Genomic DNA, 13,466 nt, shown 5'->3' with positions numbered 1-13,466 from the left:
TTTACCTAACTAAGGAACTTATGGTTAAAAGTATGAGTATTTAACCAATAACTCAGGATTTAGCTGTTTTCATTAAACCAACATTAAATGTCTTATTTATCAAAAATTAAACAAGCAAAGATCATTCTGTTTTGGGCTAGGTTTATAGTTTTATAATCCTCATGGCAAATTTTGACACCTTATAGTGTTCTGCAGCGATAAGTATAAACCTCTTGATCAATAAATGCAAAAAAAACCTAACAATTCTTAAGATGTTTCTAATAATTATTTTACCAATAATTTTAAAGCCAGCTTAAGATTTTACTTAAGTCATGTGAACTTGAAAGAGCATTTGACTTAATGTCTCTATTTTTTAAGCACTTTTTTCTTTAAGCCAATTAATTAGAACTCTTTTATATATTTGTAGTAGTGAAACATTATATACACAACATATGAATACATAGACATATTAGGCACACAGATAGAAGTAAATGTTACAGATTCATAAGACTTCTTTTTTTCCTCTTATTTTAAACTTCTAATATCTGAATAACCTGTTTCATTACCATAGGCAGTTGTCAGCTAGATAGCCTTAAATTTGCATATTAAAGGAAACAACTTTTAGGTGAAAAAAATCAGCAAAATTTACATCTCAGAATAGAGAGAAAAAGTCTGTTGTGCTAGAGGAAAATTAAAACAGACGCCAGGCCAGGCGTGGTGGTTCATGCGAGTAATCCCAGCACTTTGGGAGGCCGAGGCAGGTGGATCACTTGAGGTTAGGAGTTCAAGACCAGCCTGGCCAACATGGTGAAACCTCATCTCTACTAAAAAAATTAACCAGGTGTGGTAGTGCATACATGTGGTAGCGTATACCTGTGGTCCCAGCTACTCAGGAGGCTGAGGCACAAGAATCACTTGAACTCAGGAGGCAGAAGTTGCAGTGAGCAGAGATTGTGCCACTGCACTCCAGCCTGGGCAACAGAATGAGACCCTGTCTCAAAAAAAAAAATGCCAAGTCAAACATAAAATTATAGAAATCTATCATAGAGTTGTATAATGAGACCAATTTCATTTAGATAGGTAGTTCTAATTTTAGTCTCTATCTTTTAACAGGATCTCTGAGCTCTGGGCAGAGCCCACCCTGAATCCTGGGTCTCCAAAAAAAAGAATTTTCATGAGGCTAGACCCAGTGATGCTTTTACAGTGCACCTTTTTTTTTTTTGACAAAGGCATTTCTCTAAGTGTCTACACTACACTCTTTCCTATCTTAAACATCCAAGAGTAGCTTCTGCTGTAATAACTATTTTCACTCAGAAAAAAAAAAATCAGGTAACACAATACAAAATCAAGAAGTTTAAGATCTGAGAGGAACTTGGCTATTTATACTCATGAGGTTTCATAAGGGAAAACAGAGGTTTCTCCCCAAAAAGGAGTCTGATGCCTTCTCTACTTTAATCCTTTTCACAAGGCAGTTTATAATTAAACCTAGAGCTCTGACAGGTACTCTTGAATACCAGTCTCTGATAACTTTAGAAATTGCACCATTGTAATAGAGAGGGAAAAAAAACAAACTTCTAAGACTCTCTTGGAGAGGTGGATAATGTTAAACATTGCCAATCCTTTTGTTTTTCAGTTAATACAAGTTTTTTCTTTTGAACTGTTTACAACTTTACCAATTGAGTATACTCCTGTGAACAAAATTTGGAGCATATTGCTTTCTCCCTACCTGATTTCTCCAGAATTTAGAAAGATTTTGTGAGTATTCTCAACTTACGGCAGTATATTTATTTGCATAAGTGCAAAAAGATTCTGTTTTCTTTTGTAACAGAACACAGTTAGAGATTCTGGTTATTTTACCAAGGCTTTGACTAGAATGGCATGCTTTCAAATATAAACAGATTGCTTTAAGGAATCAAATTTTACTTACAGGATAGCTGGCCTCATACTTTGTCTACACAGTCCTTGTACAGAGTTCCTGACCTGTGTTAAGTAAACAATGTCACTTTCTGACAGGCCCAGGAGCCCTACATTATCTTGGGACCTCAAGAGGAAGAACATGGCCGGCCGCGGTGGCTCACGCCTGTAATCCCAGCACTTTGGAAGGCTGAGGCGGGTGGATCACAAGGTCAGGAAATTGAGACCATCCTGGCTAACATGGTGAAACCCTGTCTCTACTAAAAAAAAAAAATACAAAAAATTAGCTGGGCATGGTGGCGGGCACCTGTAGTCCCAGCTACTCGGGAGGCTGAGGCAGGAGAATGGCGTGAACCTGGGAGGCAGAGCTTGCAGTGAGCCGAGATCGCGCCACTGCACTCCAGCCTGGGCGACAGAGCGAGACTCCGTCTCAAAAAAAAAAAAAATAAAAAGAGAAAGAACATTCATCCAACTCATACAGATATTTTCAGGCATAGATAAATCCAAGGCTGGACTCAAGGCTTTAAAAAGTATAATCTGAGATTCCTTATAGAACAAAGTTTCAGCAAAGCCGATTTTAAAAAGAGCCTATTTGGCAAATAATTATTCTTGCTACACTGTAATATTCCTACAACAAAATGGCCCCCTAAGTGGAATCAATAAAGACTGTAAATGGTCTCGTAGACCTGTTGTATAATAACTAACAGTCTGCTCTGCTTTGCTGATTTTACAAGGTGCTTTGTGATCATCCAGCCCAGGGAGTCCTAGTCTCTTGCTATTTCCTCTAAGGAAGAAAGCACACAGTTTTATATAGTGCCATAGTCCCTGATCAATAAAGTTCCAGATTTGGGGTCAAACCCCCACTTAAGTGCTTGTTAGTCTCCTACTTTGGTTTGTCTTCAGCACCCAACTAATGCACATGTTTCTCAAGAATCCACTGAGACTAGAAACTCCCCAGACACTGGAAAGTACCTTAAGAATGTGTATCCCAAGACCTGCAATGACCAAACACATGGCCTACAAGTACTGTTACTTTCAAGCCCTGGAACTTGTCTATAGCAAAAATCTTGATACAAACAACTTTTTAAACCACTGCCTGCCAAGTCTCTTTTCAAGTTTCAGAATAAATTAAGAGATCAGCTTTCAGTTTTCAAATCCTAAGCTCCACCCCTCCTACCCTTCCTAGGCAGAAATCATTGTTTTTAGATCCTTGCTTCCTAGCTTAATTTCTTCTCTGCCTCAGTTTCAACATCTGTAAAATGGAAATAACAGTACCCACCTCAAACAGCGGTTAGAAGTATTAAATGTAAAATGTTAAGAATAGACCAAGTCCATCATACTGCTCAACACCCTTGTCCCACATTCTGGATTGGGGGTTGTAGGGGATGGAGGTGTATAACTTTTTAAAGCTTTTTAAAATAAGTTGCTGTGAATACTTCAGGTATAAAAAAGCAGATTGGGTGATAATCAACCAGCATTCCTACCATTCTTATCTGCTTATCAAGACAAAACCTGCCAATGTCCCTGGCTACCTGCATTCCAAGTGTTTTGGAATTTGGTGGTAAGACCTGACCTGAGGCTTCTTATAATCTTTACTCAGTGGAAATATGCATACAGTTTACTACAGCATATTGTGTTTACTTAGAGGAGCTGCCCTGGATCTTTGGGGGATGGGTCTTTTCTAAACTATTAAAAGCAATTAATGCCATTATTCTGAATAAATATTTCTAATATGCAAAAAAGTTACTCTTGCTCTACTTTATACAAATAATTGGGCCAAGCATAATAAGTCTTAAAACTAAGACTTATTTTGCAAGTAAATTTGTCCTATATTTTGTCTTTAAAAAATGGGGTGCTGGAGAGAGAAAAATTGTGTTTCAAAAGAACTGTAGTATACTTGTTAAGATTCTAGTCTTGGGCCTGGCGCAGTGGCTCACGCCTGTAATCCCAGCACTTTGGGAGGCCGAGTCGGGTGGATCACGAGGTCAGGAGATCAAGACCATCCTGGCCAACATGGTGAAACCCCGTCTCTACTAAAAATACAAAAATTAGCCAAGCGTGCTGGTGGGCGCCTGTAGTCCCACCTATTCAGGAGACTGAGGCAGGAGAATCACTTGAACCTGGCAGGTGGAGGTTGCAGTGAGCCGAGATTGCACCACTGCACTCCAGCCTGGTGACAGAGCAAGACTCTGTCTCAAAAAAACAACAACAACAAAAAGATTCTAGTCTTGTCTGTTGTTCTTGAGTTTTTATTATTTTCTACAATTTGTACTAAATTCTGAATTCTTTGTGGGCTATGAGCCCCCAAACTAATGCTTTCAAATTTTTCTTCCACTTTTCTGACTTCCACTCAATGAAATTTTTACTACCTTTTTCCAGAGGCCCTGCAAGCTAAAGCTCATTCCTTGTCCTACGGTTGACAAAAATGTGTCAGATTGCCATGCTTCCTCGTCTACAACTAAAGGTATTTTGAGTCTAACATCTGGATAAGTTATGCCCAACATTAACATTTTTCTTCTGTTCCATAGAAATGCCTCTTATTTAAAATCTGTGTGCCTTCATCACATATAGAGGCCTAGCCCATCTGCAATGCCACTCTCCTGATATGAGAAATAGCTATTTAACTGAACTGATCTAGTCTCAGGACTAGGAAACTGACTAAAAATGTATGGAATGGTATATTTAAATATGCTCTTTCCCATCTATCCCAATCGGTCTAACAACCTCTGACCTAAATCTCTTTCTGCTAGTGACCCCTGTCTGACTGTTTCTTGGAGCTATTTACCTGGATCCCTCAGAGATTAAGATCAATTATACAAAGACTTCTGAAGCCAGGAGTTTCACTCTTTATCCTAGGACTCATTATTTACCTTCTAATTCACTGTTCACTTAAATGTTGTGTTAAAATTATAAATGAGAATACTAATGCCTTTATCATGCAAGCCTTGAAACCCCATTGCACTTGAGCATGTGCAAACAGCTGCAAAGCAGTTCCACTCCTCTTACCTTAGGGTCAACACCTACTCCCATTATGCCCCATGTTGGCAGGAAGAAGCTAGAGCGGTCATTAATCACCCTTTCCCATCTTCATAGCCCACATCTTAAGAAGAAGGTGTTTTATAACCTTATTTACTCCTGAAATTTACTCCTGCCTTTAGAAACCCAAAGGGAGGGACTGAAACTGACTTTGCAAAAATTATAACTCAGAATATTATGATGGTGAAAGAGATCTGACCTAACCAATTCCATCTTGCCTCTACCCTCCAAGCTGTCCTTGTTCATTCCTGGGCACAGGCTGAACTAACTTTGGGAGGAACTTATTAGAGTTTAACACTTTGAAACAAAGATTATAACAGCCCTTTCCCATAAAAAAATCCCCTTCCTGCCTGGGGACTAGGCTGCCTTTGTAAGACTACCAAATCAGCCACACGATTAGAAATTATGGTTTAGGAGTCATGCAACTGGAGGCTGCCAAGATTCCGAATATCCCCAAACTGCTCCTCAGGATAACATCACTATTATAAAACCTAAGACCAATGCTTGAGATATTTTGCAGACCCTGCACTCAATGGATCAGCTGGCACCACCTAGATCAATAAACTGTCTTATTTGGTCTTGTGGCCCCAACCCAGAAACTGACTCAGCACAAGAGGATAGCTTCAATTCCCTGTTTCATCTCCCACCCAAACAATCAGCATTCCTGCTTCCCAACCCTCTACCCACCAAATTATCCCTAAAAAATGCAATCCCCAAATTTTGGGGGAGACTGATTTGAGTAATAATAAAACTCCAGTCTACCATACGGAGGCTCTACACAAATTAAAGCCTTTCTCTATTGGAATTCCTGTCTTGATAAACTGTCTCTGTCTAGGCAGCAGGCAAGGAGAACCCACTGGGTGGTTACAGGAGCACTGAAGACTGAACTCTGACCACCCATTCTGTTACTGGATAGTCCTGCACAGTTCCAGGCCGTTGGTGTCCTGAACAAAGAAGTGGAAGTGACACGCACAAACAGCAAAGCAGCAAAAAGTTTATCAAGCACAATAACACACTCTCGGAGAGGGAAGAGCAGGCTGACCTCTGAAAAATGAGATCAGTTTGGTGTATTTTGGGTCATTTTTTTTTTTTTAGACAGAATCTTGCTCTGTCGCCCAGGCTGGAGTGCAGTGGCACAATCTCGTCTCACTGCAACCTCTACCTCCCAGGTTCAAGAGATCCTCCTGCCTCAGCCTCCCGAGTAGCTGGGACTACAGGTGTGCGCTGCCATGCCCAGCTAATTTTTTTTTTTTTTTGTATTTTCAGTAGAGACAGGGTTTCACGACATTGGCCAGGCTGGTCTTCAACTCCTGACCTTAAGTGATCCACCCACCTCGGCCTCCCAAAGTGCTGGGATTACAGGTGTGAGCCTCTGAGCCCAGCCTGTTTTTTTCTTCTCTTCCCCAAACTACCTAATCTCTAGCCAGCATGTGCCTTTTGATTGACAGGTGGGTTGCTCAGTTTCTTGGCCTCTGTGCATTTGCGTGACACTTCCATTCCATAATTTTAAGTACATGCATGATATACAGCCCATATGCATGAGCCTTAAGTAGCTAATCACCATGGGTAATTGTGGGGTCATTTTAAGGATATATTTTCTCTCTAGCGGGCATGCCCATCTCTTAGGAGCTGCCCCTTACTGGTTTAGTCCAGATCTAGCCAACCATGGGGCTCCTTACTCACTTCTGTATCTTACTTCTGGTTTTGCTCAACTTCTGCTTCTTGTCTTGCTTCTGCTTTTGCTCACCTGCCTCTTTATCTTTCTTCTGCTCCTACTCATTCCACCCTTTATCCAACCTCCAGTTCCCTCTGCTATGCTCCTGCCTCAATTCTTTGTTCTAAATTTCTTCCTGAGGAACCTGGATGGAGTCACAACCACAAAGCAAATCTAACATTTTCTGCTGACCCCAAATTTTAAACAAAGCTTGTCTTTCTTAACCAATTGCAAATCAGAAAATATTTGAGTCTACCTATGACCCTGTAAGCCATCCCCTTCAAGTTATCCTGCCACTTTAGGCCAAAACCAATGTGTAGCCTTCATGTATTGATTTATGATCTTGCCTGTGGGAGGCCGAGGCTGGCGGATCACGAGGTCAGGAGATCGAGATTATCCTGGCTAACACGGTGAAACCCCATCTCTACTAAAAATACAAAAAATTAGCCGGGCTTGATGCGGGCGCCTGTAGTCCCATCTACTTGGGTGGCTGAGGCAGGAGAATGGCGTGAACGCAGGAGGCGGAGCTTGAAGTGAGCTGAGATCGCGCCACTGCACTACAGCTGGGGGACAGAGCGAGACTCCGTCTCAAAAAAAAATAAATAAATAAAAATAAAAACCATTACCTGCAAGCCATCAGGGGGTCAGGATTTAAGCACCAGCTGTCTGGTGCCTTGCAAACAAATGCCTTCCTTTCCATAGCTGCAAAACCTCGGTGTGGATATCTGCTCTTACTGCACTGGGCTAGTGGACCCCAGCTCGGTTCTATAACATGGGGAGCTTCTAAGTTGGTGAACTTGATGTACTGGAAGGGTGGCATGCCCAGAGAGGGCATGGAAGTTATGTCACCCTCTCCGTACCCCACACCCCCATCCCTGCCATATCTTTCCCCATGCATCTCTTCTTCCATTTGGGTGTTCTGGAGTTGTATTCTTTATAATAAAACTGTTACCATAAGTATAGTGTTTCCTGAGCTCTGTGAATCATTTTAGGTGTCATCCAAAAGACCATGAGAATGGCTAAATAGTAGAAAGGAGAATTTTATTGGTGATATCAGTTTGCAAGCCAGGAGAGAGGCTCCAGTGTGGACCAAAGGTGCTCTCTCTTCCAAGGTGTTAAAAGAAAACACTCTTTTCCAAGGTGTTAAAAGAAAAACCTTAGACAAATTAAATTTATCAGAGTTTAATGGAGCAAAGAACGATTCATTAATCAGGCAGCCCCTGAGCTGGAATAGACTCAGAGAGACTCCAGTGCAGCCAAGTGGTGGAAGATTTATGAACAGAAAAAGGAAAGTGACATACAGAAAACGGAAGTGAGGTACAGAAACAGGTGGGTTGGTTATAACTTGGCGATTGCCTTATTTGAACACAATTTGAACAGCTTCCCCATTTGATTGACCAAAACTCAGTGGCTGGCACAAGAGTAGATTGCAGTCTGTTTACACTTCCATTTAGCTTACTGTTCACTATGTACAGAGAAACCTTTAGGCAGAACTTAAAATATGTAGCTTTAGGCTAAACTTCATTTAACAAAGGGAAAGAATATGTTGGATTTTATGCCTCACAGGACCAGTATAATAGATAGATATTCAGCAAGTTTGAGAGAAAGGCTATACATATTTATGAGGGGAGCCCCATATATGTTTAATGGGTAAACATAGTTACATAAATCCTATGTTCACTTTGGGGCAGAATTTTAGAATGAAAATGAAGTAGAAGTTGGCCTTTATGTCAAAAGGTGAGCTGTAGGACACAAAGATGGTTTGTGTGCAGCCTCTATAAGCTGGCTAAAACTGGCTTGAGGTCTGTAGTTGCTTATTAGGAAAGAATGTTTGTAAGACTGGTCCTGTGTCCAATCAGAGTTGCAGTGGTCTTGGTTGTAAATCAGAGGTGATTGCTCCTTTATTTTTTTGAGACAAAGTTTTGCTCTTGTTGACCAGGCTGGAGTACAATGGCGCGATCTCAGCTCACTGCAACCTCTGCCTCCCGGGTTCAAGAGATTCTCCTGCCTCAGCCTCCCAAGTAGCTGGAATTACAGGCAACCACCACCACACCTGACTAATTTTTTGTATTTTTAGTAGAGATGGGGTTTCACCGTATTGGCCAGACTGATCTTGAACTCCTGACCTCAGGTGGTCCACCCATCTCGGCCTCCCAGAGTGCTGGGGTTACAGGTATGAGTCACCGCACCCGGCCTGATTGCTCCTATTTTTAGGGAGTTTAGTCATAGGAATTTCAAAATGTGCCATGCCAGCCAGGCCCTGAACCCTTGACCCATAGGTAATTTTGTTTCCTTAACCTTTGGGTCCATATTAGTTGATAAAGTGGCATCTATTTTTTTCTTTCTGGTCACATAGGGAATTACTAAAGAGGAAAGAGGTCATGGGAACCCCAGAATTAATAGTTGGTTAGGCAAAAGTGTAGGTAGTCTGGGAATCCCATTTGTGGTGTCTGAAGTGAGGGCAGTCTTGTGGGATTAAGCACAAGGTTAACATGGGGTCTGTGCTAACCCGGTGTAGTTAGTGTCAGATTTTAATTCAAATGTAGAACACCCCATTGGTGTCAGAGAACTGAAGAATTGGTTGTTATTTGGAAAATCCAGTCCCTCAGCCAGGAAGGGTCAGAGTCAAATTTAAACCCAAGCTTTCTATCAGAATCTAGGCAAAGAGTAGCTAATGTTGCCAGAAGGCCACACAATGTGAGAAGAGAGTCCAAAGGGCAAATGTTCCCAAATTTAATAAGAAAGTAGGTGATTCCATGAAGAAACAAATTTCCAGAGATATAGGAATTAAACTTAGATGAGTTCGTATGGAAACCAAGGGAAAAGGAAGTTTAAAGAAAGGTGATTTATACTCTTAATTGCTGTGAAGACATTAAGTAAGACAAGGCTTGACAAATATTCACTAAACTTGGCAGTTGTGAATGACAATTCAATAATACCTGGGGCCAGAACAAAAAGAGTTTTTTAAATGTAAGTTGGTTTGGGTTTTTCTTTTCTTTTTTTTTTTTTTTGGAACGTTGTCTTTGGTGGAAAGAGGGGTAGCAATGGATGAAGGGTATAGGTGTGAGAGTTTCTGCTGTCATGACTGTTGTTTTATGTGAAAGAGGTTTGAGTATGTTGAAACAGGCAGAGGCTAGATATAGAAAGTGCTTAATGGGGGTGTCAAAGGATACAATTCCAAAATATTTAGTTTGAAGACCTCAATTGGCTTTATTTGCAATTCTAGAATAAAACAAAACCTCATTCTATAAAACAGAATAGTGTTCCAATGAGCTGAGCAGAGGAGATTGGTTTTACAGACAGAAGGGCTGAAGAAAGCAGAAACAAAGAACAAAGAGCGGATAACTCATTTCACAGTTACTTTCCTTGTACAGTGAGAAGAGGAAACAGAACAATGGAGAAATAACTAATTGTTAACATCAGGTTACATTTTTTGGTAATGATTAGGGCAGACGAAACTTTATTATCATGCCCGTTTGGGAAATTAAGCTGTTCTCTCTCTCCTGATTTCTAGGAAGATCAAATAACAACTTAGTTTTGGTTTGGTTACATTAAACTTTAGTATGACTGGCTCCATTTTGATTTTTATTCTGATCTGCTGGGGCCTAGTGCAGGAGCTTAGTCCAAAACAATGGCCTCCTATAATTTTTATTTAACAATTTTCCCCTTTTGGTCAAGGCTCAAGTGAGAACCTGACCAAAACTAAGGGCATTGGCACTAGTCTCAGTTACCATCATTTTAGGTTTCCAGTCTCAACACATCATTCATAGGTTAGTGTCCTCATCATCATGCATTTCTTTGAGTTTTTTGTTATTCCAGCCAAAGACAGACTATTTGACATTCAACAGATGGCTGTATGCAAACATTTAAAACTTTTTTTTTTTGAGATGGAGTCTCGCTCTGTCACCCTGGTGGAGTGCAGTGGTGTGATCTCAGTTCACTGCAACCTCTGCCTCCCAGGTTCAAGCGATTCTCCTGCCTCAGCCTCACGAGTAGCTGAGACTACAGACACGCACCACCATGTCCAGCTAATTTTTGTATTTTTAGTACAGACAGGGTTTCACCATGTTGGCCAGGCTGGTCTCGAAATCCTGACCTCAGGTGGTCCGCCCACCTCAGCCTCTCAAAGTGCTGTGATTACAGGTGTGAGCCACCACACCCGGCCACAAACATTTAAAACTTTTTGAGAGCATACAGTGCAACAGACAGACTACTATTATTACTCTCAGGAGGATATTATCAAGAGTCTGGAGTATGCTCCTTAGCTAGGGTCCTCATGAAACAAACCAACTAAAATAGAATAGATTGAAGAATGAGCCAGATGAGGAGTATATCGATCTTAACCAAGTAGCCAGTCTATTTTTTCAGCCCAGTCTCTATGATACCTGATGTATTTATCCCTGTGCAACAAGAAGTGTTAGCAACTGCAATGATTCCTTCTTGTTCAGCTAATAGAAAATCTCATGACTGAGTTAAAGTATGGAATGACAATTTGCAAGTCACCCACAGAAGCTACTGATTGTGAAATTCTAACGATAGCATTATTCTGCCAGACAAAAAAGATAGGCATAAACAAGGAAAAATTAAGGGAAATAATAGTCTCATTATGGCAGGGTCTTGTTCTGACAGTTTTGTCTGTTTGTTTATTTGTTTGTTTGTTTTTTGGAGACAGGGTCTAGCTCTGTCACCCAGACTGGAGTGCAGTGGCAGTGGCATGATCTCAGCTCACTGCAACCTCCACCTCCTGGGCTCAAGTCATCCTCCCACATCAGCCTTTTGAGTAGCCGGGACTACAGGCATGCACCACCGTGCCTGGCTAATTTTTGTATTTTTTTTAGAGACGAGATTTCGCCACGTTGCCCAGGCTAGTGTCAAACTCCTGGGCCCAGCAATTCACCTGCCTCAGCCTCCCAAAGCACTAGGATTACAGGCATGAGCCATTGCACTCAGCTGTTCCGACAGTCTTGAGAAAAACTCCCCATGATAAAGTTAACAACTCATGTGGGTTTGTAGTTTGAATGTCTCTGGTTATGGCATCGGGCAGTTTGGTGAACTTGGTGTGGTCCACACATCGGGCATGAGGCTTGTCCCTTAAAATTTACATTGAGTTGTCCAGCTTCAGCTCTGGGGCTTTAGGAACAGAGCAATTTTTGTTCTTAGTTGGAAAATTATAGCCAGATACTGAAGGAAACTAGAATACAGGATCCAGTCCGGTATACAGGTAGACAATAAAAATTTGAAAACAATGAATAGGAGTAAAACCTAATAACAGGTGTACTATAGTTTTTCCTCAGAAACATAATTATTCTCTTTACAGTCACCCCCATTTCTATCAAAGATAAACACTATAAGACTCATATGTTTGCAACATAAATTTAGTCTCATCAAACTTGATCGTTAGACTTTCTTCTCAGTATTTAAAAAACAGAAAGCACCATGTTTCTTTAAAAACAATCCTTTCTTCACCTCTGGCTGCTGTCCTCTCTTCTCACTATAAGAGGTCTGAAGAGTAGTCAGTCTACTCCTGTTTGTATGTTTACCTCCCACTCATTCCTCCAGCCTCACCTCCCCACCTCAGCTGCTCTTACTGATGTCTCTAATATGTTCTGTGTTCTAAAAAAAGGACACTTTCAGGCCTTTATCTTAAGTTCCAAACTATTCTATTATCTCTGCGGTACCTTCAACACAACGTATCCAGAAAAGAACTCACTTTTCTTCCCTGTGCCCCTAAACATACTCCTCCTTTTCCCTTTCTAAAGGGTACCTCCACAATTTGTAGTCCAGGAAACCTGGATAACATCTTAGTCCTCCTTCTTTCCCCTGCCCTTGGCCTCATCCATTACCAAATCCCCTCACTCTATCAATCCCCACAAAGCACTCAAGTGTTTCCTTGATTCCAATGCAATTTCCCCGGAGCCTCTATCATGATCCTTCTAAAATATCAATCAGATAATGCCAGTCCTCTAGTAACAGTCTCCCTGTAGCTCTCCATTTCCTCCAGAGTGATCTCTAAACACATATAGGAGAATAGAGTCCTTTGGGATCTTGAAGCCCCAGCCTGCTTCTCCAGCCTTTTCAGCCTCATCTTTCACCACAACCCCCTCTTACTGGATGCCCAAACTCCACGGAAACTCTCAGTAGTGTCCTGAACTTGCCAGGTGACTTCATGCTGTCCTTTGACACAGAACCTGCAATGTCCTCTTTTGCCTCATTTGCTGGGCCAACTCCAACTTGTCCCTCAAGACTTAGCTTCTACTGTACCTGCTCAGGGATTTAGTAACTTGCACAAGGACAGTTTCACTATTCATCTATTGTAGGTTTTCTTTTTGAGACTCTTAAGATATTTGAATTAGTGTCAACCCTAAATGGTTTCATACAATACTAAAGGAAGTCTGGCCTGCAGTGATCCCACAACTACAGAAGTGGATTTGTTCCTTTAGTCACATGTTGGTGACTCAAAATCTATATTAAGCATTTGTAAGTATTTATAAATGATACTTTTTTATTATTCACAGTATACCAAGGCAAAAATAAGCTTTCTTAAGTTAGAATTCTGTAAAGATTGCTGCTTATCCAGTTCATCCCACCTCACTCATTACCAGAATTTTCATGTAACAGCTTGGTTGGTCTGTCAATCCAGGTGTCTTTACATAACAAATCCTACAGATGCCCTTAACTCTGAATTCAACAAAGGCAATGTTGAAAAAGACCAACCCAGCACTCTGTATTTTTTAATTTTTTTTTTTTAATGTTCACCCTGTCTTATGGTGCTGCAGCACTCTGTAATGACAATGATATATCAGAACTTTCTTGGGAATATATC

The 13,466-nt window shown here is 40.9% G+C and overlaps 1 long non-coding RNA gene across 1 annotated transcript in view, besides 1 other annotated feature; it reads left to right on the top strand.

Moving 5' to 3' along the window:
* Nucleotides 1–6,039, top strand: part of LOC124904421 (uncharacterized) — a 31,359-nt gene extending 25,320 nt beyond the window's left edge. Inside the window, exons 2-3 of the long non-coding RNA XR_007066624.1 lie at nucleotides 4,273–4,357; nucleotides 5,765–6,039. This is a non-coding gene — a long non-coding RNA (uncharacterized LOC124904421). The remainder of the gene's footprint in view (nucleotides 1–4,272; nucleotides 4,358–5,764) is intronic.
* Nucleotides 6,230–6,524: a silencer, noted in NCBI's record as "tiled region #4547; HepG2 Repressive non-DNase unmatched - State 24:Quies". NCBI's record gives its function as "represses a minimal TATA promoter and a strong SV40 promoter by Sharpr-MPRA in HepG2 cells {active_cell/tissue: HepG2}" and the evidence as "EXISTENCE:reporter gene assay evidence [ECO:0000049][PMID:27701403]".

This window comes from Homo sapiens, chromosome 1 (assembly GCF_000001405.40).
Source record: "Homo sapiens chromosome 1, GRCh38.p14 Primary Assembly".
Lineage (NCBI taxonomy): Eukaryota > Metazoa > Chordata > Mammalia > Primates > Hominidae > Homo > Homo sapiens.
This window is presented reverse-complemented; position numbering and strand designations above follow the sequence as displayed.